The 27,333-nt window shown below is 38.1% G+C and overlaps 1 protein-coding gene across 43 annotated transcripts in view; it reads left to right on the top strand.

Annotated features, from left to right (window-relative positions):
* The window catches only part of ESRRG (estrogen related receptor gamma), a 634,457-nt gene that overhangs the window by 319,277 nt on the left and 287,847 nt on the right, over positions 1 to 27,333 (top strand). For 2 of the 43 annotated variants that reach the window (XM_047449403.1, NM_001243514.2), the window contains exon 1: positions 13,041 to 13,483. The exons of the other annotated variants lie outside the window; for them this stretch is intronic. The gene's annotated coding sequence lies outside the window, so the exon portion shown is untranslated. Of the gene's footprint in view, positions 1 to 13,040; positions 13,484 to 27,333 lie in introns of those variants that run through there. 43 annotated transcript variants of the gene reach the window in all.

Here is a 27,333-nt window from a genome sequence, read left to right as displayed (position 1 = left end):
CAGATGATGGTTCCTTATTCCTCTACAATTTTCTAGTCCTTGTTACAATATTGAATAATGCCTGATAGGCACTCTCATCTCCCTGCAAGGGAAGGTGAGTGAAGCAAAAATAAAATGCCAACCTTAGCTCTTCTCAGTATTTAAATGCAATATTATATTATAGTATCAATCCATTCATTGGTAATGAAATGACAAAAAACGTCACTTCATTTCCCCCCATCAATAATGACAACTTTTCTTCTTCCCAAAAAGCTGTTTCAGGAGGTTTTAGTGGGATGAATAAATGTATTCCTTTTTAACACTTTTGTTGTTTAAAAATGCTATTGTTTCATTTGAGGTGTGAGGAAATGTGCTAACCCTGTCATTGTTGGTGCAGCAGTGCAGAAATGATAACTGTATATAGTTTTTTCTTTTTACAAAAATAGAGAGGAGCAAGAAGGAGACAACTTATTTAAATCCCGAATACAGTCAGACCTCATATGCATTGTTAAAAAAAAAAGCCCTGAAGAATTGCATATGGATTAGAGGGATGAATATTCTATTATTTCAGTCTGTTCTGCTGATCTTCTTATTGTGACTTTGTGCTTCAGAAATCTGCTAGGAATTTGGCTTTGCCGTAGTAGGCAGTAATTTTAAATGTGTATCAAGCACTTGATAGTGTATGATTTGCGTGCTGTTGCATTCCTATTCCCTAAATTTTCCACCAATTTATTACTTTTTTCATACTGTTTTAATATTTCAGGATGATGAATATATACAGCATCATTAAAGGTAAATAAAAAATGCATGAAATTAAAAAATGGAATATTAGATGTTTCTTTGCTGTAATCCCTCGGCCCAATAGGAATGAAATGTCTCTGTTCTGTCGAGTAATCCCTAAACATGATTAGGAACCTGGGAGTGTCCACACAGCCCACATAATATTTGTATCATCTAAGCCTATTTATGTAAGGTTTGAGTAAAAGTTGTTATTAGAAGACCTATAAACCCATTTTACAATTCCGAAAGATATGCTTGCCTCTTAATCTTTTCTACCTTTATTATTTTTCCTGGAGTTGATGACAATGTGTTCCTAATTCATTTTTCAGAATGCTATTATGGTACATCTTTTTCATACTCAGATGATACATTGGCTATTCTATTGAAATACATTTTTAAGACCACAGATTGAGTTCAGCAGTTCATTTGCATCTGGTAGCTCTTTTCTCAATATTTGTAGAAAGGAGAAGAGTTCATTTCCTAGGGTCTTTTCACAACTTCCAGACATTATTTGAATGTGTGTTTAGGGTAAGTTTTGCCAAAATATTTCGCCTTTTAAGAAAGTCTGCTCCATATTGACCCACAAAACCTGTGTTTTTTTTTTTTTATCATTTTCTTTCTTTAATAACAATGGTTTGCACTCTTTGATGCTTTCCTACAAAATTGTTTAAATTTGGTTGTGATATTTGAAAGAAGGCGGTCAGTGTTTTCTAATGAGAATATCTGGTTACTGAAAGTTTAAGGAATGTTTTCTCTAAACCTTGAGTAGGATAATGAAACCGTGATAGATGCCCCACATTGTTTGAATCACTTATTTGGGAAGATATTTTTCTTTATTAGCAAATCTTCAATGTTTGCCTTCTTTGAAAGCCTTCTTTTTAGGGGGACTTGTTTCAAAACATCTTAAAAGTCGTATGTATGATTCGTTTATTTCTCTTCCCTTCAATGAGATTTTAGTGGATACAAAGCATCTCTTAACTCAGTTTAGATCTTTTAAATGTGCAAATATTGATCTAGCAACTGCATGTCAAAACTCTTGAATTTCAGGAAACTTAGGCATGCACCATTTGCAACTCTATTCCAGATATGTTAAAGTACTCGGGTGTGTTTCTTAGAGTGTGATTCTTTTACTGTAGCTTAATGCTTATTTGCTTTTGGCCTAGCCACAAAAGGCATTATGTTAGTATTCACTGTTTAACCAACATCATGGAATGTGAAGATCAGTGGCTCTTTTTTTTAAATTGACAAATAAAAATTGTATATATTTATTGGGCACAACATGTTTTGAAATATGTGTACATTGTGGGATGGTTAAATTGAGCTAATTAACATGTGTATTACCTCACATACTTATCATTTTTAATAGCTCCTATTAAGTCCACAATTATGAGATGTGTTATTAAATGACCACGGTTTGTAATGAACACCCATGAATGTGATATATTTTGAAACCATGTTCCATACAGTACTCCAGGATGTGATGTGATAAGACCTTTAAACCTTTGCTCCCATTTCGGCGAGTTAACTCTGATGACCCACGATGAATGCTGGTAGTGAAAGAGGTATTTCTTTAGCATCTGTGCAAGTCAAGTTCAAGTTGGCTTTTCCTACAGACACCAGGTTTGAGCAGAGGAGCTGCAGCGTTGTTCCTTTACACTTTGCATGTGAGCCATTTGGTATCCAGGCTGCCAGCAATCATAAACATTTTCCTCTGGAAGCCACTTCCTGTGTGTGTGTGTGTTCCCCAATATGCAGAAAAACAAGTGACACCAAATAACATATGGCCAATAGACCCCTGGATGAACTTGACTCCTAGGCAGGCATTTAAGAGCTGGGGGCGGGGAATAGTTTTAAATAGTCTACACCCTTATGCTACAAAAATTAGCCAGGGAGCATGTGCTTTCGTAATGGTCCTGTGACAGGGCTGCTTCATTGTGTTCAGTGCGGCGGAAATCTGAGCCTCCCTCCACCAGCTGCGCTGAACCGAACACAAATGTCTCGGGTTCAGTTGGCAGATAAAGCACTGTTGTGTCGCAACTGCAGTATGTGGGGGCTACCAGGTGCAGCCAAGCCAGGGAGGCCTGAGCCCGGGTGGTCTTTTTCCCAGGGCAGGTGGCACAGAGCCCCAAAAGGAGAGAGAAAAATCTGGGCCACTATTCTGGAAATTTTCTGGATTAGGTGTGTAGCATATCCCACTCCACAAAGCCCTTCCAGATAATGCCAAACCAACAATTTAGAGGGCAGTGTTGTCTGTGGGTTAGAGCTCAGCCTCCTCAGTTGGCTCCCAGCTGTGTGGCCATTTACTTAATGTCTCTGTACCTCAGTTACCTTATTTGTAAACTTTGGATGATAATATTATCTACTAAGAAGTAGATACTAACATTGTACAAGGTAATCCTTTTAAAGCCCTGAGCATGGTGCCTGGCACATAGTCAGCACTGAACAATGTCAGCACAGTGAAGCTCTCATTTTCAGTGTGTGCAATGCTTTTGGTTTTATATATGGAGAAACTGAGGCTGTAAATAATGTGCTCACCTAAGACCACTTGGCCCAGAATAGATTTCACATTTCCTGGCTTTCATGCTATTATGCTAACCGCTAATCTATGCTTCTTCCCTGCGTCAAGCCCTTAACATTCCTATTCTTGATTAAAGTGAGGGGAGGATTTAAGAAAATAATGGTAAGAAATAACCTCATAGAGATTAACTTAATCTGCTGCATCTCATCTTTGGTGCTGAACATCTTTGAAATAAATAACAATCTGTTTTCAATCAGTATCTCCTCACAGCTAAAATTATCAAATTTTAAAAATATAAGTTTTACGTTCTTGGGGAAATTGGCAAGTTTTGACAATAATTATTTTTGGCAACTGTGGAGTCTAGTATGTTTCTGAAACTATCCACCGACATTTAAACGGGCTCTGAGCCTTGGACAGAAAAAGGCAGAGAAATGTTTACAGTTTATAGTTGTGAAGGTGTGCTGGAGTATTTTGCCTCAAGCAATACAGAAACTCCTGGGATGAGCAAAAAGCGCATTTCAAAGTGAAAGACTGAGGAAGGTAGCAGAAATATTACATGGTTAGGTTAAAAAACATTTATAAGGCTGGATTTAAAAGCATAGAAAATGAGAAATCTTTATGCTGCTTCTATTAATAATGAGTTGTGTCTGTATTCACAAATTAGTTTGCAAGTTAATATTTGGATTTGGCTAAACAACTGCTTATTAATTTTTTGAGATGAAAAAGTTGAGTTCACCAGTTATTTGAGTGATTTTGACCAGCAATTCCCCAAACAAGCAAACAAAACTGTTTATATAACCATCGTATAATTCAACTCCCTGTAGGTTGTGAATTTCATTCTACAGATGGAATTCTCTTCCACCCCAAAAATAAATACTAAATAAGCACAGGTCTGCTGCTCATGTCCACAGTGCAGTCAGGCTGCTAATTTGGTTTGATTACTAGATATGGCCCAGTGGTCCAGGGGTGTTTCTTCTCAGCAAATGACAATAGCATTGTGGTGGGGAGAGAAGCATCATTTTTTTTTTTCCCATGACCAAGGACTTAAGCCTTTTGGGCACATTAGCACTACTTTCAGCAGTAATGCAAAATGGGAAATAATTGGGTTGAGGAGCTCCTGGGATATTAGTGGTGCTGCAGGCAGGAAAGCAGGCATTGGAAAATAAATGACAAATTAGCATGCTTAATCTCTTTATTGTGAATCAGATGCCACAGCAGAGGCTCATAATACATTAATAAACACCAGTTAATGCAACTGAGATACTATTCCTCAAATTCACAAGAGTGGTAAGAATTCTTTCCTAGGGGAATGAGTGTGTTTTCTGAGTGATGTCCCCCCGACATAAGCAGGACTTTGTAGTACAAATCTAGGGAAAGAAGAATAACAATTATGTGTGTATAGTGTGCAGGCACTTATGATCACTTTCATGCATATCCACCTGTCTGAGCTTCACTATGACATCCCTGAAAAAGGCAGGTTTTACTATTTCACCACTTTACAGACAAGCCACAGATGGACTTAAATGACTTCCAAACATTGCTCACCATTGGTCAAGCGAAGAATTGAATCTTAATTTTCTGGCTTCAAAAAAATATATGTTCTTGCCACCCTATCACCCAACCTATGTAGAATTAAAATAGATACTAGTTATAAATCTGTATTATACAGATTCGATATCCTCTGAGTTGGGACATACTCCATGACCCATTATAACTAAGTTCCATAATATTACAAGTATAACGAGATTCCTGAATATTATTAAGTTACTGATACCACAAAGTCTTCCTTTACATGTCCTTTATAACTCAAAAGAGTCCCATGACATTTCCCATATGGAAACTCTGAGACACACAGAGGGTCACAGCTGAGCCACTTAGTGTCCAGAATTATCACTAACCAGGCTTGGCAAGGTTATGACTTGAGGTGCTCTGACTTGTAGCTGATCATATCACGTGTTTAACAGACGAATGTATCTGAGTCGTGGGTTTTCTACTCTAGCATTTCCAGAACATGAATCAGCCATCACAGCTCACGAGATCTGTTAGTGACTGGGCATCTGTGTAGCAACTGCATCCAGCTTAATTCTAGTTACTCCTCTAGCTTGTACTCCACAGCATTCAGCTGTTCAGCTGCACAGCATTCTTTTGTCTCAGTTAACATCATGTTTTGTAATTATTCCAATACTTGTTATGGAGCCTGATATTTTTGTATATGGAACCCCTTCTGTCCTCATTTATATCAGCCCTATCCTCATTGCTATATGGCATAGAAAATAGACCCTAAATTCATGTTTTTTGGTCAACTGACCTGAGGGACTTTGGGCAACAATGAGTTCTTCTTGGATGTTTATTCAAGAGGATGTACTATACCATCAGTAAGGATATGATCACAGTAGTAATGAGAAAGAGAAATGAGTATCTGGCCAAGGTCATGGAGAAAACAGGGTGGATTAAAAAGATGAGCAAGAGCTGGAAATCATAGAAATTGAATTTATATTTGAGCCAGAGTTACCAAATTTATTTCTAAGAAAGAAAGACTGATTGCTAAAGAGAGGAAGACAAAACCTAGTATATAGTGAAGAATGCCAAAAACAAACCTATATTCTTATAGCATCTATGAGTGCTATGTCTGTGTGGTCAAAAATAGTTATTCTTTTTTTTTGCCATGTTCATTATGCAATCTACTACATGAACACACAGCTCTGCAGAAATTGGAGACCAAGGGACTCCCCGAAATAAGTAAATAGAAAAATTACCCATTGAGTGGTTGTGCAGATATAACCTTATTTTTAAATTTGGTTTTTGCAAAGCAGTTCAATGTATATCTACTTATGGTTGTTCAATAAAAGCAAAAATTTCCCTATTCTTTCAAATTGAGCTTTAAAGAAATATGTTAAAAACAGACAAGGTTAAAAAAATCAAGGATTTACTTATTTTATATAGTAACTCTTTAAGCATATGTTTGACTCTTTAACGTAATTGTTTCTTTTGGTATCTTCTCTGGAGAGTGGGACTTGGAGATTTCCAGGGTAATTATGCCTCCTACCTTTCTAAGGACAGTCTGTTACTGTTTTCCCTAAATAACCTTTGATCATATAATGGATAAACAGTATTACCTCTGTTTTAATGACCTCCCTGATTTGACAGTGGCCGGCCGTGTGCCAGAGTCAGCTCCTTGGACACTGCTTTTGTTCTACATTCCTCAGTACTATGACAAAAACTATTTACGTTTTGCCTGAATAGCTTAAACACCATTTTATAAGACTTTAGATTGCTTTTGAACATATTTGAATGCATCTTTAGCCATCACTAGGCTTAAAATGGAAACCCTTTTTTCAGCTTATCTGTATTAAACACCTGTAAAAATCAATGGTACTGTATTTTTTTCTTATAATGCTCTGTTCCTTTAACTAATGCCAGAAATAATGCACAATTTATTCTAGCGTGTTCTTTTCCCTTTGCCTGATGTTCTCCGGTAGTAAGTGGCGTAGTGTATAAGAACTCACTTCTGCTGACTTAATAGTAAAATTGCCAGGTTGATGTTGAAATTCAACCAATTGGAGCCTAATCCTCAAGAAGAAATTTGCTGTCTCTCCTACTGATTGTCATCCGTCTTCTTCATAATGAATATGCAGAAAGTTTATTTTATTTTTTGCAAGTGCGCGTACTTACATAAATGACCAATAGGAGAGGTTAGAGTTAATGAGTGATTTTTTTTGAGCATTGTTATGTTTCCCTAAAATCAGAAGTCATTACATTTATATTGAAAATATTGAGTGGTTTGTATGAGCTTTATGCCAAACTAAGATTAGTGTGCTGTAGCCCATTACAAATGTGGACGATAGACCATTTTTTATGAGTTAGAATAAAAAATATGGTAATAATGTCTTCTCATCATCATAAAGAGATGATAACGACTAAATGAAATATTTATATTATCTCATCTTATTTGATAGGTCCTATCTTCTCCCATACCAAACATTTCCTCAAGAGCAACCATCATCTCTTATTTAAAAAGGAAATCTTTGTAGAATTCACATTCTTCATATTTGTGCTAAATCCAGTAATCCAGTATTTTACTCATTGTTATTCTCTTTAGTTTCTGAAATTTATTTTTGCCTCTCAAAACAGTGCCCAGTGATCTGGTATGATCAGGGCTGTGCATAAAGGCAGGTTACATTTTAGTTTCTCTATGCCTCTTCTATTGGTCTGTTCCTAAATATATTGCTTTTTGGAAAGCGAGGCTACTTAAAAATGGATATATGTATATGTATATCATAACGTTATATATATGTACATATATACACACATATCATAGAGTTATATATATGTATATATATCATAGTTATATATATTAGTTAAATATACATGTATATATATCATAGTTATATATATCATAGAGTTATATATATACATGTGTATATCATACACACACACACACACACATCCATTTTTGTTTAAGAATTAGCTCTACTTTCCAAAAAGCAATACTTGGAAGGCAGATTTTATATATAAACTATATACCATATAGAATATCATGGAGATATATATATTATATATATAATTTATAATATATATAATATATATATTCTGCCTTCTATTACTTGACCACCACATTCTGTATACCACTGTCTTTTTATCAGATATATTTTGAGGCTTTCCAGCTGTTCTCTAACATTGTGTCTCCTCCCCTTGTGTACTGTCTTGCCATCTTCCCAGCTGGATACTTTCTGGACTTTTACATTTTCTTTGAGACTTAACATACAGAAACACTGACATATATGCCACTGTGAAATCATGTAAGGATTAATTTATAATGCTGCATGCTCTGAACATAGATAAGCAGGTTGTAAGCAAGAGCAAAAGGAATAGATGGCATAGAAAAAAGGGCCAAGCGTTTCTGCCATTTGCGCAAAGGCATGGAGGCATGTCTTGAAGTGTCTGGTGCAGGTGTGGGGAAAGAACTTGAGTCCTGGTGATCTGAGTGCAGGAAAGTGGTGATTTGGCCCTGCTGCTTCTCTGTTTTCGCCACCACCACTCATAAAAGATTCTAAGAGCTCCTAGGAACAGTTTGCAGGTGTGTAGCTGTGTCATAGTGCTTTCATGTGAACTGAACTGTCCTTTTTTCCTCCCCCTTTCTGTCTCTCTCTTCCTCATTCATTCCCTGAGCTTATGCACTCATCTCATTGATGTCAGAGAAAAGAAAAAAGATTTGAGGCTTGCTCAATTTGTTCTGACATAAAGAGATGTTTAGCTCTGTGCAAGGTGGTAGAGGCGAGCCAAGTGCCTGACTGCCATTTCAAGAATGTGCCTATGAGGACAGCTCATTTCATGCCCCTTAGCTGTGCCACATCCTGGTCCTTCCAGAGAGCCCTCCTCTACCCTTACGTCTGCAGTAAGAGCGGCAACAGTCCTGTTGGCTTGAGGGGCCCACCTGTTAGATGGGCTGGTGAAGACGTTGCTTTCCGTTGAGTATTGTTTTCTGCACATGTTCAAGGTTTGCTTAAAACTGAAGAAAACATTTCTGAGGAATTTTAGGTTTTATGGAGAACAACATAACAAAATACCTTGTTTTCTAAACACACTGATTTGTCTTAAAATGTTCTTAAATTTCAGGAAAGCATTTGGAATTCAGCATAAAAATGTTGCTATCACTCAGCATTCCTTAAATCCCTCATCCTCAAGACCTCAAATGATAGAAATGTAACTCATCATACTGCTTCATAGGATGGAGCTAGCTATTGTCCCCAATTCATTTTGTTCCATTTTTAATGATGACAATTGGAGGTGTTCTCATGGGGTTTTTTTTTTTTTTTTTTTTTTACTGTAAAAAAGCAGTCAGACCCTTGTTCAGTTCAGCTTTTACAATAAAATTTTAAAACAACAATAAAAACACCAAACAGCCTTGTGCATTTGGAAGGAGTAGAATTTTAGAGTCAAAGTTAGTTTCAGAGCCTTGGCTTAATTGTCCTTTCTAAGGCTTCTTGACTTATCACTAACATTGGCAAAAAGATATAGTTGGAAAAATAGTACACACCTTGCAGGGTTGCTATGAGAACTTGATGAGGTAGTACAAAAATTTAGCGTAGCACCCTGTACGAAAGTACATAGACATGTAAGCTAGCACAGTGCCTGGCAACTAATAGTGACTTAACAGTTTCTTCTCTCCCTCCTTTCTTTCCTTCCCTTTTAACTCTTTTCTTCTTTCTTTCCCATTTGAGAAAAAAAAAGAAAAAAATAGGAGGAAAATTCTTTGACAGAATTATATCATATGAAACTTGATGTTCTGCTTAATGATTTTTATCAACTGAGGAATGGTCAAATTGGGACCTGAGCTGGGAGCAAATAATATTACAAGTAAACCTTTGCACTTGTTTATGATCAAACCTGATGTTATAGTCCCCACATTTAAAATTTTATATTCAGGCCAGGCATGGTGGTTCATGTCTGTAATCTCAGCACCTTGGGAGGCTGAGGTAGGCAGATAGCTTGAGCCCAGGAGTTCAAGACTAGCCTGGGCAACATGGCAAAACCCCATCTACAAAAAATACAAAAATTAGCCGGTGGAGTGACACCTGCCTGTAGTCTCAGCTGCTTGGGAGGCTGAAGTGAGAGGATTGCTTAAACCTGGGAGGTTGAGACTGCTGTGAGACATGAGCATGCCACTGTACTGCAGCCTGGATGACAGAGCTTGTCTCAATAAATACATACGTAAATACATATATAAATAAATTTTAGATTCATTGATGCTCTCTCATTGAGACTTACCCAAGACTCTCGTTCAGACAGGACTTTTATTCAGCCAAGCCTTTTTACATGGATTTTGTCTTGTCCTTCCAAGTAACCCAAGTTCAGAAGTGTAGCACCTCATGTTATCTATGAGCTCTGCCTTAGCTTTACAGTAATATAATAGCAACCAAACATCAAGAATTCTACATTTTCTTATCAGCACGAATCCAAAAACTTTTGGAGCATATTTGGATGTTTCTCCAAATTCCATCAAAGAGACCCCTCCCTGAAAGGAGTCTCAATTCAATCTGTCAGGGCCAGTATAGAAAGAATTCCACACTGGAACGGAGGTTAAGTATGTCTCTAAGATTTCACTCAACTATAGGGTTCTAAGACCTTTTGATTCCAAAACAGGAGTGTGTCAGACACACTAGAGTCTCCATGCCCAGCTGTGAAATTAGCACATTTCTTTTGTTGTTAGCTACCTCACATACTAAGCCCATGACTCTATTGGGCTTTGTGGTTTGTCTGAAATGTAGAAAGGGACTAGTACTATACTTGGCACCAAGAAAGCACTCAGCAATGGTTAGCATTAATACTATTTAATGAGCCAGGCTTCTTAGATAGCCATCCTCATCTTGGTTCTCTTTCACCCATCTACTCCCTGTAAAGACCATAATTACAATTCATGATTTTTTTTTTTTATTGGCAAAGGGTAGAGAATCTGCTGCAAAGAGATTAAGAGAATACCGGAAACTTACTGTTCTCTCCCGTCTAACACAGCTGAGATCTGCCTCCTTTCTGTCAGATATCTGTACCTCAAGGTTCTTTACCCTGCATTACCAAAATGAGAAACCCATATTCCAAAAGAAAAAACATTGCCCCCTTTATTTAATATTTTCCATATCATATTTTAAGGATTTTAATTATATCAGAAATAAAAGAAACTATGTTGAAAGATGGAAACAAGTTAGAACAGAAAGTCTAGTTTGTAAATTAAACTGATCCAAAAATAGCAATGTGATATGTTTTTCTCAGACTCTTGATCAACTTTCTAATATGACTATCAGACCTGAACCACATCCAGAGAAAAATTGAAGGGTTTTTAAGCACCCACAAAATGGTAACACATTTCTCATAGACAATTATGAGATCCCCAAGAGAACCTCTCCCAACCGTCTTTGCGGGTGAAAGGATGCCATTCGACGGTGGAACAATTGTATTAGACTTCGAGGGACTTCCAAATTGTTCTCCAAACCAGAAGCTAGTTTGCTAATATTCATGTCAAACCATGGCGTAAGTCTGCCATGGACTTGATTGTTAATTGTCAGTTACTGATGGTAGCTACTCCCAGAATGCATTAAAGCTCAAGAAATTCAGAATTGGTTCCTTAATCAAGAATGTGGAATTGCCAAGCTATCACATACGAGAGGAAGCTACAGATGAGTTACAGAGCCCTGGCCTCACAGATAGGATTCCTTTACTAGCCCACAGGTGCCCATTATGCATTCTGTCTCTACCATATTGAGGTAAAGGCAATAACATCATTTGATGATGGGTTTATTCTCTCCAAATTTCAAGATTGAAAGCTGACACCTGAATGTAATTCCCAGGGCAGCCGAACACTGTCCAGTCCTGGCAAGATGCACAAAAACATGTGAGACCCCAAAGAAGTCTATTAGGGGATTTGTTTCCTCAAGCTCAGTATTTCTTACATTCGAGTTTTACCCGATACTTAATTTAACTCCACAAGTAATATAATACACTGGGGCAGGACTAGAGTGAGGTGAATGGTATTGCAGCCTGCACGTTATGCCTGACCTTGCAGCTGGGTATTAATTTGAAGTAGTGGAATTAAAATTTTCTATTCTTTTGCATCGTCATGCCTCACGTTGATAAGCACAAAGAAATGTAAATAAAAAAGACCTATTTCAAAACCTTTCGTACAACCTTTTTGTTTTATGACAAAAGACAGTTAATTAACATACTAGCAGTAAGCAGCCTTCCCAAACTCAAGCTAATTATGTATTCTGTTGACCGTGACTCTAGTCATAAGGTAATTGGCTTGCAGCAACATGACATTTCAAATCATCTCTTGAAATTACATCAAAAAGCCAGCCTGTTTTGTTTTGATAGGGGAACAATCAATTTGATAAGTGGTAACACAGCTCATTGTTTCACATTAATTAGACTAATTGCTGCATGTTAGCCTCTGAAATAGACAGAACTTGGAGAAGACAAAGGCTGCGGCCTTTAGCATGCAGGGCATGTGATGGTTCCACTTGCTTGCACATACTGTAGGCAGAAAACAGAGCTATTAGGAGGCAGCCTTGCAGGAGGCTGGATGTTAACAGTAGTCTGAAGTGTTATGCTTTATATACTGGCTTTCAATTATAGCATCCAGGTTCCAAGTCCCATAGAGGAAAGAAAGGATGGCTCTGAAGAAATGCTGTTTCCCAGCTAACCACGTTTGGGTTCTGAGGGAGTTATAACAGCCTTCTAGTCATCTTCTCTCCTTCAGAATCCATACACTCTTATGTCCCTAGCAGGGAGGCTGTACTTATTTCCTTTTGTAGTATTCTGGGCTTAAATGCCTTGACAAACAGACTGAAACAAAAACAAATAAACAAAGCCAAAACAAAACCGAACACCTAAAGGTTAAAAAAAATCCTTTTTTTTTTTTTTCCAATTACAAAACAGTGTTCTAACAGACAGAGATTCAGCAAATTGTCACTGCGGAAGCCTAACACTTGAGCACGGCAAATGCCTTTCAGTTTGACAGACTGTAGACTGTACCTTTGTTTATTCTCAAGACCACCAATTTGACCAAATTGGACAGTGTGATATTTATGACAACAGCACATGTCAATCTCAATTGGCAACGAAGGGAATTTCACTTGTGACCCGCCTGGACTTGTGATGCTCACATAGGTTCATGGTATCGTGTTACTGGGTGTCTGATGCAATGGAACAGAGCTCTTTTCCAAGTAAGAGGCATCCAGCACTTTAAAAACCCAGATGCACTGTCTCTGTCACTCTGACACTGTCTAGTTATCCACACACAGCATCGGAATATTGCTAGCTAACTCAACAAATGTGCAAATCAGGGGACTGTTGTGTGTGTACCGATTCATGTCTATACTGTTTTTATTGGTGAAGTAGGAAATTAGTCTAAATATTTGATTCTGCAGTTGCATGTCACCAAATTCAGTGAGGTTAGATGTTAAATCATCTTGTTGGCTTTGGGCTGAATTTGATCTAAGAGACAAAAGTCTCAAACAACAGACTACTTACTGCCACCACATCTCGATTCAAAGAATAGTTTTCACATGTTCGTGGTGTGGAAAGGACTTTCTGTTTCTCACTAATTTCTTCAGCTATACCAAGAGTGGTGTTGTCTTTGAACAGGAAGGACAGCAAAAATAAACATAACAGTTTTTTCATAAGATACACAGCTGCATTACACATCCCAAAATTGTAAGTACAATGTTCCTCTATTTGTAAATGCTATGGGCTTTCATTGAAATTGCAGAGGGAAATGTGACAATGAAATTCTGACCTGGCTTAGAAAATGAATTGGAAACATTTAAAGGAGAAAGATTTGCTTCTGTAATATGAAGGTATCTCGGTTGGGGAAGGGGGGTATGTGTGGACATTTGTACCAAAGGAGAGCATTTCAATTCTTTTTATCACTCCCTCAAAGGAATGATCCTTTTGCATGAACTTCAAAGCACAAATTTGTGCAGCAGGTTTAATTTGGTCATTTAAAAAAAAAAAGTGTGTGGTGTAGCAGAAGCAAGCAATTAAATGATTGCTCCTACAAGTTAATAAATCTTCAACAGCCTTTTAAAAAGATACAAGGATTTGTGATTTAAGAGTGCTAATGTGCTGTTTTCTCTCTAAAATCCCAGGGCTTATTCGGAAGGTAAATGATGAAAAAAAATTTTAAAAAGTACCAAGATTGAAGCCCCTTAACATTCAGTTTAAGTGTTGGTTCCACTTGCCTGAGCACAAGTTGGAAGTAGCTTTGTTAGGATTCTAGCCGGCATCCTTGCTGTCACTACTGGTTCTTGTATAGTCAAGCCCCACTCTGTGCAGAGCAAATCTTTGCTCAGTTAAGCGAGCGTCAGTCACTGGTAAGCTTGGCTGCCGGCCCGGGGTTGTTAGGCTTTTCCATGCTACACCTGAATGAGATATTGACGAGACATTGCTACCTAAACAGAGTTGAGAAACTGGATAAATAAATAAATTAATTAAATTGTCACAGGGCTGAGAGAATAATTTTGAAAATGCAACTTACACTTCCAGTGCAGAAACAGATCAAGGGAAGTACTGCTTGCTTGGTGTGAGAGGGTATACCATTTGGTGGTGTGAATATTTTTTTTTTATTCTGCCTTAAAATTGTGGATTTGGAAAGGGAGGGCAGATGGAGGGAGAGAGGTACTGGCAGATTAACCTGTGTTAGAACCTTTTGGCCAGTTACTTGTTTAATGTGAGTAGGCTTTGCCCTATTATCTACTCAACAAAAGCTCCCCAAAACAAAACGATGTGGAATAAAGTTACAAGGCTTTGGAGTGGGAATAAAACTCTTAACAGTGGGTAATTTTTACTGGGGAGAAAAACAAGGATCAGAGAAAATCAAGTAAAAAAAAGACATAAAGTAGGAATAGTTTTTAAATAGGAATGGCTGGCAGAGCTATTAATCACACGAAGGGCTCGGAGCTGCAGGGATTGTGTGAGTACAGCTAAGACCAAAGGCAGAGGCTCGACAGAGAGCCCTGAATACACCACCAAAACCCCCAACCAAAATGTAAGAGGAATGTCCTGTTCAAATAAGCTAAAAAAATGTCTAGACAAAAATCTAAGGGATATTAGTAAATATTTAGATTCTTTGGTGCTTACTGTTGAATTAATATTCCGTTGTGATTGTGGCAGTTCTTATTCTCATCTGTAAGTGGGAAAAGTGGATTTTATTGATGGTCATATGTTGGTTATTCAGCAGCATTTGGTGATGGGGCGGGGGACACTCAAGAGTCTGAACACTACTGAGCCTTTGTTTTAAGAAACTATTAATTGGAGGTTTGCAGGGGGAAATCAGAAATTACTGTAGATTCTGAAGATTTAATAACTTATTTTAAAATAGATTTTGTACTCGTGTAGTGTGGATGTGCTATTTTAATTGTATAATTTATCCTTAGAACTGTGTCTGTATTGAAAAGGGACATTTCTGAGTGTGCCAGCATTCCGTTCCCTCCACATCCACCCCACGTTCTTACCAGAGAAAGCTGTTGGGGGACACTGTGGGGTAATGTCATTGGAATGGTGAAATGTGGCCCTTCTCACTCCAGTTTTTACTAATATGAGCCCAAACTCCCTGGCTGATGTCACAGAATCTGGACTTTCATGGCCCAGGCAAACACGAACCCATAGAAAGAAATGAAAATACCAAAAGACGATTGAGCACTCACTAAAACAGCATGGCATGAGAAATTGAGGGAATGTCTTCAAGATATGTAAAATCACTTTTCCTTTTAGTATTGCTTTTCCTCTCTTAACTTTGGTTTTATAATCTATAAGTGGGGATACTAATATCTAGCTCATAGATTTGCTGAGAAAATTAAGTGAATTAAGTTCCCAGCCTGGTGCTTAGCACATATTAAGTGCTTCTTGGTCATCATTTTGATAAATGGGGGATATTTAACTGGGGTAGTAAAGGATGGGCATAAACATCTGAAATTTTCTGTCTAATACAATCAGAATTCATGGATGTGTCACCTGTGCAGTCACACAGGGCCCCATGCTCAGAAGTGCCCTGTGCTTGGTTTACTACTCTGCTGTTGCCATCTTGAAATTCTGAATAATGTTTCAACAAGATGCCTGATATTTTCACTTTGCACTGGGCCCCACAAATTATGTAGCTGGTCCTGAATATAGTTATTTGATTTTGTTCATGCATTTCTATTTCTTTTCCAACTACAACTTTTATTGGATATTTTAAGCTAGCTTTTGGCAATATCAGACACTTCTCAGTGAATTCTCTCTTTTTTGACTTTTCTTACTGCCATGCTTCTTCTAAAAATACCCAGTTTGACCCAACCAAACTACAATTCTCCCACTTCCTTTGTCCCAATGCCCCATTTTCTTGGGAAGATGTGCATTGCTATTCCCTCTTCCCTGGGTAAAACTTGCTTGGCCTCCATATGGCTCAATTTCCACACTTCCTCAAACAGAAAAAAAGCACCCCTCAGGCTTTCCACATAGCATCACAGCCTAGTTTGATGCTTCTGCAGTCACTACACTGGATGGTTTGCTCTTTGGGGGAAGGGACATTGTCTTTTTTTAACCATTATTCTGACACATAGTCAGTATTCATGGTTTGTTGATTGAATAAATAAGCAAACTAACTGATTACCAGAGCTAACAAGTGTACAATGAACTCATTTTTGTCTCTCCTTTTTATAAAATGTTCTCTGCTTTCCATCTGCAGAGTATTTTTGAGTAATGGGATGCCTCAAATGTATGCAATAGGAACCAGATGGAAAAACAGATAAGCAGGATTTCCTCTGAAGTAGAAATCAACTCCTAATTATCAAGAATTGGTAACTCATACAACTCAATAGCAGGAAAACCATCCAATTTTTAAAAGAATGGGTAAAGGACCTGAATATACATTTTCCCAAAGAGGACAGAAAAATGACCAATAGGTATATGAAAAGGTACTCAACGTCACTAATCATTAGGGAGATGCAAATCGAAACCACAATGACATATCATCTCACACCTGTTAGGATGGCTATCCTTAAAGACAAGAGATAAGAAATGTTGGCGAAGGTGTGCAGAAAAGGAAACGCTGTACACTCTTGGTGAGCATGTAGGTTGGTGCCCCCATTGTAAATACTGGATGATCTCACTTATATGTGGAATCTTTGAAAAAGAAAAGTTGAATACAGAGTGATAAAGAATAAGACAGTGGTTAACAGGGACAGGGGGCAGGGGGTTGTCGGAAATGGGGTAGGTAGTAGTAGGTCACAGGATACAAAATGGCAGATATAGAACTAGGAGTGCTGGCATGCCTGTAGCCATAGCTACTGTGGAGGCCAAGGCCAGAGGATTACTTGAAGACAGGGGTTCGAGTCCAGCCTGGACAACATAGCAAGATCCCATCTCAAAAAAATTCAATTAACTTTTTTCTGAAATAGCAGATATGTTGGATGAACAAGTCTAGACATCTAATTTATAACATGAGGACTACAGTTAATAATATTGTATTTGGAATTTTTGCTAAAAATGTAGATTTTAGGTGCTCTTGCAATCAATAAAAAATGGGCAACTGTGAGATGAGGGATATGTTAATTTGCTCCATTATGGTAACCATTTCACTATATGTATATCAAAACATATTGTATGCCTTAAAAATACACAATAACATTAAAAAAAGAATTGGTGTGAAATTGAATGAATATCATTGTATACCACACAATCAATTAAATGAAGTGTTTCTTATAATTCCTATTCAGTTTGTTAATATGTTAATACCTTCAAACCCTTATCCTAAGGTCGGAATGCATGTTTCTTTAGCACAGGACTTTATAAACTCATGGATTTATAAGCCTTTAATACATGAACCCACAAGATAACAGAGAACTCATGTAGGGATGAGTTTGACAATGGGCAGAGATGGGAGTTAGTAAACTCTGTGAAATGGAGTACTAAATTTTATGAGCATATGCAGTTTTCTTCAGAGAAAGTCCCCAGCTTTCATCAGATCCTCAAAGAAGCTTCTGGCACAAAAGTAATTAAGGACCCCTGCCTTGTTATTTCAATTTGAGAAAATGATGTTTCTTTCTTATTAAAATACAGTACTGTATATTATGACATCATTATTAAAGGGATGCTTTCGTGCCTTTTAACAACCCCCTATATATATCCCTGTTTATTAACTGTGTATTTTGGATAGATGTTTCTTAAGCGGTCTTATGTGTTGGTTGAAATATTTGTACTTGCTTTTCAAAGTTGTCCACCACTTCCCTCCCTTTTCTGTCCAGCCTGTGTTCTTGCTGCTTTTGCAAATTTTTCAGTGTACAGTGGCACACCATGAAAAGGCAATTGAGAAAGCCCATGTGCCATTGGTTCCTTGGTGGTTCATTCCTTTTGTTGTTCTGGATTGTTTTTAGAATTCATATCATCAATGTGCTGGGGGCATTGGTGACAATATGTTAATGGTTTCCTGACTGGGCAGACAGCTGTGTTGAGAGGTGTTAAGTTTTCAGTAAAATCATCTGTTTTATTAGTTCAAATTTACCTGCAATGTTAGCTTATTTACAACCGAATTTTTAGTCTACATTTCTTAATTTAGCACCTTCTGTTTCTTTTCTTTGTTTTAGCATAATTTTATTTGAGTGCTGAGATTCCTCTCCCCCTCACAGCAATAAGTAAGGATATTTTTATTTGCAAATAAATGTGGGGTTTTTTTGAGGGGGAGACTCCCCTTCCTCAAGAACATTACATGGTTCTAAGGCTACATAAGTGATAATCCCAAATTACTGACTAATGAGACATGTGCATCTATCATTCCAGATAAATTCACCCAGTCCCGTGGAAGTGCCTGGAATGTTTCTGTTTTGCTTTTTCTAGTTTGTGTTTATGAATGTATGATGTGCCTGGGATTGGTAGAAGCAAAATTTTGTCCCCTTGGTTTGTAAGATTTTGCAAACCTTTTACTGATATGAAAACTTAATTGTGATTATATATGCCAGTGTTCTTGGCTCTTTCTGTCATTGCATATTCCTCATTTTCTTTCGTATACATTCTTTCCAGTCCATCTAGAGTCTGAATTGAGAAACCATTCATAACTTCTACATTCTTATATTCAGTCTTCTTTTGTATGGATTAACCTTACCTCAGCAGGTAAATTGTGAGCTCCTGGAGGTCAAGGGTCCCTCTTCATTGTGCCTCCCTGCTTGAGTGATTATAATCGTCACCTCCTATCCTGAGGAATCAAAATCATCATTTAAATTGTGGTTGTGTGGGTGGTGTCTTGGGATGTATAAAGCTTGCTGGGGAAATACTTTTAGAATATGGAAGAAGAAGCAAGACAGGACCATTCTGAAACCAACAGAAATAGTAGACCAAATTCTGCTGAATGTGAAATGTTTAGGAATGAAAAATCAATTTTATGTTTATCGGAATTCCTGAGTCAAGAGAATATTCTTCCCCTTTTGTCAGTGTTTTTGAAAGGGTCTGATAGGAATTGCAATGGTATAGGTTAAGTAAGATAAAGTCACATTTACTGAGTGGGCTCTTTGGGGACAGCATACATCAGAGCATATAGTCTTCTTGGTCTAGCAAAGAATAATGGTTATGAAAATTAACCATTTAGGGCTAGAGAAGGTCTTGGAAATTGTATAGCCAAGCCTCTTCATTTTGTCAGTGAGGGGATTGATTCTCCAGCTGATTTAGGTCTAAATCTGTGACAATGATTTATATACCTATTCATGATCACTTAACTGGTATTATTAATGGCAATTAATATGAGTCAAGCAGTGGTTTAAATGCTTTGCATATATTAACCCATTACTCCACAACAGCTCCATAGGTAGGTGTATTATTATCCCGCTTGTAAAGATGAAGAAACTAAGGTAAGAGAGTGTAGTTCACTCAGCTAAGATCACATATTTCAGTCTATTTGTCAAATCTGTTCAATTTTCTCTATCACCACAATCCCTACTCTGAGCCAAGCTACAATCACCTCAATCTGGACTTCTGCAAAGGCCTCCTAACCAGTCATCCTACATCCACTCTTACTACCTATATAGATTCTTCCCTTCTAACAATCTATTTAAAATTCCAGTCTGGTCATGACACTGCCCTGCTGTTGATGACCATAAGTAGCTTGCAGGATTTTCAGGAGGCAGCCCTTCCTGGCTTTCTGGAGGCCTTTTTCATCCTCTTTCCCTTGTTCACTGTACTATAGTGCTTCCTCTCCAAACTCCCTCACATGCCAGAACTTTGCACATGCAGGGCCTCTATCATGAATGCTCTCTTACTTATAGTGGAATTTGTTCATATACTTACCATTCAGATCTTAAAGTTCACCTCCTCAGGGAAGCCTTCTGTGACTCCCTAGCTAAATTGGATGGCACTATTACAAGCCTTTGGACCCTCAGGGACTGTGTCTGTTTGGCTTACTGTTGTGTTTCTAAAGCTAATACAATGCCTGGGAGGTTGCAGACAAGAAGTATGTGTTGAGGAAGAGAAAGAGAAAAAGAAAAGAAAAGAAAAAAGAAAGAAGGAAAGATGGAAGCTCTAAGGTCCCAGGAATAATTAAATTTCTCTCTTGGTTCAATGAAAAGAATCAGGGTTTTGCATTACAAGATCTGATGCTGGCTCTAACCATACTGCTTACTTTTGGGAAAATGCACAAATTGAGGAGGAAGGACAAAAGAGGGGTCAAAAGTGATGCTGAGAAAAATTCCAAATAATCCCTATAGATACTCTGCCCTATAGGAGGTGGAACATGACTCCCCAGTCCCTAAGTGTGAGCTATACTTCCTTCTAAAAGTACAATATAAAATAAGGGGTGGAAAAGAGTAACTTTACAGTGGAGAAGCTGGCCAAACACTACCTTAAGCAGGTGATCAAGGTCAGCATCAACAGTATTAAGTCATGTTGGTAGTATACACCCTTGATACGATGTGATGAAAACAACATCTAGGTCTGTGGTCTCCCTCCCCAAAAAACCCACAACCCCTGTCTGATCCCAAAAAACATCAGGCAAATCTCAGTTGAGGAATTCTACAAAAGACCTGACCAGAACTATCAAGGTCATCAAAAACAAGGAAAATCCTATGGTAATGGGATTTTTTTCCCCCCTTTACGTAACCTGTGTTTTCCTAATAGGAATTTATCAGACTATGTGGGTTAGTGGATCTGGAGGGATGGGTATACTGTGAAGTAGCTATCGGAACTAACTCCTGGTACTGCAGAACATAGTTCCCGCTTATGGAAACTGAGAAGGTATTTGGTGACATTCAGGAGAAGCCTAAGGAGTTACAGCAGCTCAGTGTAACATGACATCCTCATCCTCGGTGGGATCCTGAAACAGAAGAAGAATAGGTAAACATTAAGAAGATCTGAATAAAGTATGGAGTTTTGTTAATAATAATGTATCAATATTATTTTGTTATTTGTGGCAAATGTACTATCCTAATGCGAGATGTTAACAATAGGAGGCCGCGCACGGTGGCTCACACCTGTAATCCCAGAACTTTGAAAGGCCAAGGCAGGTGGGTCATGAGGTCAGGAGTTCGAGACCAGGCTGACCAACATGGTGAAACCCCGTCTCTACTAAAAATACAAAAATTAGCCAGGTGTGACAGCACACGCCTGTAATCCCAGCTACTCGGGAGGCTGAGGGAGGAGAATCGCTTGAACCTGGGAGGCAGAAATTGTAGTGAGCCGAGATCGCACCACTGCACTCCAGCCTGGGCAACAGGGTGAGACTGCATCTAAAAAAGACAAAATAAATAAATAAATAAATTAAATAAAGGAAGTTTATTTTTTAAAAAAGTGATGCTGACATTTTGAGCTTGGGTGACTGGGAAAGAGTGTCATAGAAGCAGGAAGATCAACCAAGAAGTTTCTGGCTTTGAGCATAAGAAAGTGTGGAGAGGGCTGGTGGTAAAATCAGAACTTAGGGTTAAAGAGATGCCAGGAGCTCAGGAAGATGGAAGATAAGGTTCCTCAGGAAGTGAGACAGGGAGAAGAAGGAAAGAAATTGGATTAAAGCTAGAAGAAACAGTAGAGGCCAGTGAAGGACTTTTTCTTTTTTAAAGATTTGGAAGACTGTGTATTTATTAATAACAGAGAAGAAGCCGCTCAAATGCTGGTTTCATTCATATTTAAGAGTGAGGCACTACAATAGCAATCCTTAGATGCAAAGATAGGAACTGTGAATGGGTTCTTTCTACTTCAGGGTGATCTTCTAGGGAGCCAGTTTTGCTATTGTTGTTGTTGCTATTGAGGGCATCCCAAAATATCGGTGTCTCTGTGCCTTTTCTCTAGAACATTCTTTTTCTCCAGAGCAGGGTCCTCCAGTGTTCGCCTTGGAGATATACAATTGCCCAAGGGCATCTGGGAGCCCAGTGGGGAAGTGGGGTAAGGGTGTACATGCTTTCCTGTAATGCTCTCGTTTTCAGCAGGGTGTCCCACAGCACCCCTCTGCTTCTTCCTCACCCCACTGCTCCTTCTATTTCTGTTATCAGAACTTCTCTAGCTAATTTTTTACAAAGAGAAAATAGGGAGGAAGAATGCTTGCTATGCCTTTTAGGAAGTAGGTGGAGGATGTTGAGGCCAAGTTTCAGCCAGCCCCACTTGTTTTCAGCCCCAGGCCTCACAGGCCCCTGCCCTACACCAATACCTGATATGCAATGCCCCATGATGCCCGAGATTTTGGGGAGAAGAGTCCTGCTTCTTGTTGATATCCCATTTGGTCTGTGTTTATGGTTCACTTCCTGTATACCTCTTGATCAATTACTACCCTGCACTCTGCTTTGCAACTTCATATACCATGGTTCGGGTTCACCTGTGACTCCTATTTCCATCAAAGATGGAGAATGTATTTCTGTTTTTGTCTCCTTGTTTTACAGATGATTCCTGAGAGGAAGGAGACATCACAATCTTTACCTTCTTAATATCAAAATTTGAAGATTCAAAATTTAAAATGCCTTTGTTTTCCTAGAATTGTATTCATGTTTTAAATATATATATTAAAATTTAGAGGCCAGGTGCAGTGGCGTGCACCTGTAATCCCAGCACTTTGGGAGGCCGAGGCGGGTGGATCACTTGAGGTCAGGAGTTTGAGACCAGCCTGGCTAACATGGTGAAACCATGTCTCTACTAAAAATACAAAAATTAGCCAGGCACAGTGGCACATGCCTGTAATCCCAGTTACTCGGGAGGCTGAGGCAGGAGAATCGCTTGAATCAAGGGGGCTGTTGCAGTGAGCCAGGATCACGCCATTGCACTCCAGCCTGGGTGACAAAGTGAGACTCTGGCTCAAAAAAAAAAAAAAAAAAAGAAAAAGAAAAAAACCATAAAATAAAATAAGTAAAATAAAATTTAATGTATTTTTCATCTATTTGTTTATTTTAATGAAAAAATAGATATACATTAAAGAACACAGCTGTTCATTTATTTTTCCAGTGAGCCCGGTTAGTTTAAGGTTTAGTCTTTAGAACACATTACTTCGTGTCTTCAGGTCGGTACTCACATTTTTGAGAAGTAAGCAGTCTTTGTCAAGTGATGCAAGAATCAAAGCTTGTTTTCTGGAATGGAAATTAACTGAACCTGAGGCCCTTTTTTGTACCACCCCATTCAGTGCTTTTCTCTTTTAATATTTTAGTGAATTTCTTAGATGACAAAAATAAAAAATGATTCTGGCTGTTGGCTTCCTGAGCTGTATTTAGTTGTCAGCTAGTTTAGGGTGGAGACAAGAAAGACAGCATTTCCTGAGTCTTTTCTTTCCCTGAAGAGAAGAAGGCTAGAGATTATCCTGGTTCATGTTCCCTGAAGGTATAGCTTGTGCAATCCAGGGAAATTATTTCCCAGTGAAAGGCTGTCCTTTTCATTCATGCAACTTGAACTTCCCTTTGGTAAAACTTTAACTGTGCTGAGCAAAACCTTTGCTTTTCTTCTTTCTACTCAGTGAACCCTTTTCACTAACACTCTGGAGTAATAATTCTAATAACTCTCTCCCAGAGGAGATCATTGTCTAGGAAAGGGGCTTAGTCAGTGGGAAAAAAAAGAAATGTTGCTCTGTTAGTAAATGTCAGCTCAAGCAAGCGCATCTCCTAAGAGGTTTCCAAATGGATGCATCTTTATTTCTCTACATGGTAATGGGATTATTTTACTCCTTTATGTAACCTGTGTTTTCCCGATAGGAACTTATCAGACTATGGGGGTTGGTGGATCTGGAGGGATGGATATACTATGAAGTATCTATCAGAACTAACTCCTGCTACTGCAGAATATAGTTCCCACTTATGGAAACTGAGAAGGTATTTACTCCCGGATTCCCCCCAAGCGGTTTAAGTTACCAAGTGATACTTACCTTTAGGAACTTTTTCCCCAACTCATAATGAGTGTAAATACTGCTCCCTAAACCCAAGACCTACGGGAGTTTCTTTCTTTTACACTTACGTCAGCCTTTAGTCTTTCCCATCATGCTGTCATGTCTTAGGTGGTGAGGCCAAGTTTTAGTTTGTAATCATGAATGCTTATAAGGCAGAAGGCCAAGGCTTCCTAAATTGCTCAGTGAGGCTCATTGTAAATTTATATTGAACTCTTAATGGTAGGAGCATTTAAAAAATTGGACCTTCTGAAAAGTGATCTCATTTCAGAATTTTTTTCTCTTCTATATACTCTGGGTTAAACCACAGTATTAAAAAAAAAAAAAAAAAATCCTTAGTTAAGCCAGAAGTCTGGAAGTGTAATTTTCATTGAATTTACTTTAATGATAAAAACAGGAAGGAGAGGATCATTCATTCAGAAAATGGTTATTGGATCTGTTATGTCCTTAGGCACTCTGCTAAACCTGTAGATGAATAAGATGTGGCTCCTATCCTCAAGTCACTTAAAAATTAGAAGAAAAGCAAAACAAAACAAAAACCTATAGTACCTTTTGCTTTGTATTAGGACACATAACAAATTAATTGAAAACTTTAACAGCTTAAAACAACAAATATCTATAATCTTATACAGTTTCTGAGAGTCAGGAACCTGGGAGTAACTTAATTGGGTGGTTCTGTCTCAAGGTCTCTCATGAGGTTGCACTCAAGGTGTTGGGCAGGGCTGCAGTCATCTGAAGATATGACAGGGCAGGGGAATCCACTTCCAGGCTCCCTCATGTGGCTGTAGCTGGAGGTCTCAGTTCTCACCATATGGATCTCTTCATATGGCTGCTTACAACATGGCAGCTGGCTTCCCCCAAAGCAAATTACCTGAGAGACAGAGAAAGAAAGGCCAAAACAGAAGTTGCAGTGTCTTTTATGACCTAATCTCAGAAGTGACATACCTTCACCCCTGCTGTATTCCATTGGTCACACAGACTAATCCTGGTACAACTTTGGAGGGGCCTATGCAAATATATAAATACCAGGATAGGGGAATCATTGGGGGAAATCCTGGAGGCTTACTACCCCAGTCATCCATCCAAATACTGACCTGCTCAGTGTCCAAGATTAGCAACAAAGAAGCATGATCAGAAATATCCAGATTTTAGCCAACACTGTGGGACCAAAAGGGCAGTAAAATTTAGAGATGGAGTGGTGGACATAGAGGATAAATATGGATTTTCCAAAAGGAGCAGGAACCTCAGATACCTGTCTGGGAAATTTGTTTTATAGAAATTCTGAATTCTAACTGTATTGCATGATTCTGATTTTACAAAGAAAGGGATTTAAGGTTACTGATCATATTCCTATCTGCAGCAGACTAGGAGCAATTCTTTTCACTAAGGGATCATGGTGCCTTATGAAAATGGAAATGGGAACAGCATGAAAAGCTATATTGAATGAGTCCCCTCCATGGCTCCTATGGTATGGCATCGAAAGCAACTGTAGCTAAGCAATTTTTCTTCATGTGCCACTACATTTCATGCAGAGTTTGTTGTAAAATAATCTAAGAAAAAGTTTTGTGAGTGCATTTGCAAAATTATTACTAATCTGGACTGAAGTAGCATATTCTACTGCATAGTTCTCTTCTTAATGACTAAATTATTTCATGTAAAGTAGTCTATTAAATAGCATTTATTCAATTTGTGGAAATATGCCAGAGCCTGTATGCATTCTTCCTAATGCCACTGCCTCATCTTTACTTTTAATATGTAAACAATGCCTAGGCAGATTTGACTTTTACCTCCCCTTTTTCCCTGAATAGTTGTTTTTGAAGCAATCGTTGATGGCTGTAAGTATCTAAGCATCTTGTCTCCCCTGGCCTTCCCCTGCTTTAACCTGGCAAAAAAAACCCTGGAAATATATAGAGAGTAATAGCTAGAGGGACAGGAAGAATAAATTATGTTGGTATTACTTTTAGTACTGTACTTATGCTTAGACTGACTTCTAGTTCTTGCATAATACAGGACTAGGTCTGGAGAAAAAGGCCTGATAGAGGATATGATATAAAATGAGATATTTAGCAAATATGCATGAATGTCACAGAGATAATGAATGAGGCTGACCACATGCTTCTTGTTATTATGTATGCACTTAGGTAGGTCCTTTTGGTTAAGCTTTATTAAAACATTCCACTTTAAATTTGATATTTTAGATGCATATGTTATTTATAAGATATACTAATTATAGAGAATTCCAGGAAAACTTAACCCTTCTTCTTAGAGATTTAAAATAATTTTTCTTATATTTCTTATTCTGAGAACAAAGAGAAAATCTACTTGATGGCAATGGGACTAATTGTAATTTTTGTGGAAAAGAAAAGAAAAAAAGGAAGGGTTGGTTCTAGGATTTCAGCAAGGTATTTAGTACAGCATCTAGGTCTGAATTTCCTTATCTGCAAAACTATGCAGAAGATCTATTTGATTTTTCTGTTTTTTCCTAGCTCTAAAGTTTTATCCAAAAATTTTCACTAGCCGACTTTCTTGTGAATATGTAATTTTTATTCACCAAGTGGTATGATAAAAATGATAGTGCTTATAAGTACAAACTATGAATAATAAAAAATGTTCTTACTTATAAAGTGAATTCCAAGATTACTTTTGTAAATATATCTTAGAATGTGATTGTGAGTGTGGGAGGGTCTATGGCTCCAATGTATTGATGATGAAGGGCATGTGTCTGAGAAATTAAAGTGATGATTTCCAAGGAATCTTTTCAGAGATCAAATCTTTCCTCTGTGTATTAGATCATTCCTGCACTGCTATAAAAAAATACCTGAGACTGGGTAATTTATAAGAACAGAAGTTTAATTGGCTCATGTTTCTGCAGGCTGTCTAGGAAGCATAGTGGCATCTGCTTCTGGGGAGTCCTCAGGAAGCTTGCAATCATGGCAGAAGGCAAAGGGGGAGCAGGCCTATCACATGGAGCAAGCAGGAGAAAGAGGGAAGAGAGTCGGGGAAGGAGGTGCCACGCACTTTTAAATGATCAGATCTTGCACGATCTCACTCACTGTCGTGAAGACAGTACCAAGCCATGAGGTATCTGCCCCCATGATCCAAACATCTCCCACCAGGCTCCCTTCCAGCACTGGGGATTACAATTCAACATGAGATTTGGTTGGGGAAAATACCCAGATTCTATCACCCTGATATGTTG

The sequence above is a fragment of the Homo sapiens genome, chromosome 1 (assembly GCF_000001405.40).
Source record: "Homo sapiens chromosome 1, GRCh38.p14 Primary Assembly".
Lineage (NCBI taxonomy): Eukaryota > Metazoa > Chordata > Mammalia > Primates > Hominidae > Homo > Homo sapiens.
The sequence above is the reverse complement of the archived record's forward strand: the minus strand, read 5'-3'. Positions and strand labels throughout refer to the sequence as shown.